Below are 2186 nucleotides of genomic sequence, written 5' to 3'. Positions count from 1 at the left end.
CTGGGTCCAGCACCACATTTGAACCGCTGACATCAGCCAAGCTGAATTCCGGATGCTGCTGCTAGAATGAATTCTGCAAAGTCCCTCCTTTTTTTTTTTTTTTTTTTGCATCCCTAGGTTTTGCCTCCATGTCCAGGCCCCATGGCTGATAATAACCACAGAGAATACATCCTGCAAAGATATTGGAGGCAACACCATGTGCTGAACAATTATATAACCTCCAAAAAATAAAGTAATTTTTAATTTTTATAATGTGTCACCACTGAGAGGAATTTAAAGTCACCAAGAACATTTCAATTAATTAGGCCCAGTCAAGCTGTAGAGATAATGGCCAACAGAAGTGTTTCCTCAAGGATGTATTTTCCATTCAGATCAGCAAAAAGTACCTTGAAAATTCTCACAGGAAGTGAGGCAATATCTACTGTGTCTACATCTTTCTTTGCACTGCAGAACGTTTCGCCTCATATGACGCTAATGGAGAAAAAATAGTTTGTTGTTTGAGTGAAAAGACTAAATAATGATAAATTGGCTGCCTGAAGTGCAGTAAAGAAGAAACAAATGGATGTGTGGCATTAGCAGAGTTAATTATAGATGCAGATTAAAAGGCAAGATTAAGTAGTGGAAGAAAAGCAGAGAGTCACCTTCGGCCCAGACCCGCCAAGCAGCGGCGGTCAGTCACCTAGCAACAAGTTTCCTATCCCTGCTGTGCTCTTTAATTCAGCAAATCTGCTCAGGATGGCGGGCTGTTCTCCTGACAAAACGCATTATGTAGGAGACCGAGGGATACAAAAATCCACTGTACACAGCACTCTGCTCCCTATTGACCACTGATCCTTTCTCTCAATCCACAAAAGAGGCTCACATAATGCCCTGAAAGGAGAAGAGTCTCCACAGAGAAAACATTTGCTTGTAATTGAGATTGACTACATAATGAAAATGATGTTCTTTTTAAAATTCTGCTTGTTGAGGCCACACTTTTTGTCTCCTGGCACTCAAAACACATCCCTGCTGGGAAAAGGGGCAAACATTGTAAAAACTCAAAACTGTGATTTTTTTTTCCTTTGCATTGAAAACACCCATTCTGTAACAAAATGGCCAGGTCTGTCTCCCTAGAACTTAAATAAGTGATAAAAAGGTAAACAGGAAAACTTCTATTCAGAGTTGCAGTCACAAATGCCTGCTTTGCTGAAGGCACACAGGCGATGCATGCTCATTGATTTGCACAACAGCTGGACAAAAATGACAGACAGGATTTTGATTTCTTGATTATGCCCTCTGTGACGAGGCCATAAATTGCTGGTCAAAATTCAGTCACCATTTCAAAGATATGCATTTAAATACCCATTAAAATTTTAACCTGGCAGAGAGGAAGGGGTAACGACAAGAGAGGGCAGAATAGCTCATCTTCTTAATCTAGAGGACACAATTAAAGTGACCTGCATGGGGCTTAAGTTGATTCCCTATAAAAAGATTATGCTGGCGTCTTTGTTAAGAAGCATCCAACATGGTCACACTTGTTTTAAAACCAGATCATTGGATTTATTAATTTTTAAATAATACTTAAAATATTTTTAAATAGATTAGTAAGCATTACTATATGTGTGAGTTTCTACACTTCAAGGATTTTATAATACAAAATGATTTTCACAAAAAATAAATGGTTTCCCACATATTAACAACATACTCTCACTGAAACATGCATTCAACAAATATTCACAGGACACCCATATGTGCCAGACACTGTTCTAGAAGTTGGAGATCCAGAGATAAAAAAAATATACAGCCCTGGCCTTCAAGAGAACAGAGGATTATCATACAGTTGTAGCACATATAAAGGGTACTGGGATAGAGTTTGGCACAGGGTCCTAAGGGAACACTTAGCATGATATATGGCCCAGAATGTAGGGGAAGGGTTATTAAGCTTGCAGGTAAAACTTTCTGGAGGAGATGACACCAAAGCTAATCCCTAAAGGATGTGTAGTTAATAACTGCCTAGATGAAAGGGAAATTCTTGGCAGAGAGAACATCATACAAGATTCTAAAAAGAGAAAGATCATGGTACTTTAGTGACTGAGAGTAGGGCAATATGGTGGGGGGTTGGAGGTCGGAGAGGTATTTGAGCACCAGACTGTACATAGCCTCACGTGCTAGGATAAGGACTTTCCTTGAAGAGCATGGGGAAGATA

The sequence above is a fragment of the Homo sapiens genome, chromosome 14, assembly GCF_000001405.40.
Source record: "Homo sapiens chromosome 14, GRCh38.p14 Primary Assembly".
Classification (NCBI taxonomy): Eukaryota; Metazoa; Chordata; class Mammalia; order Primates; family Hominidae; genus Homo; species Homo sapiens.
This window is presented reverse-complemented; position numbering follows the sequence as displayed.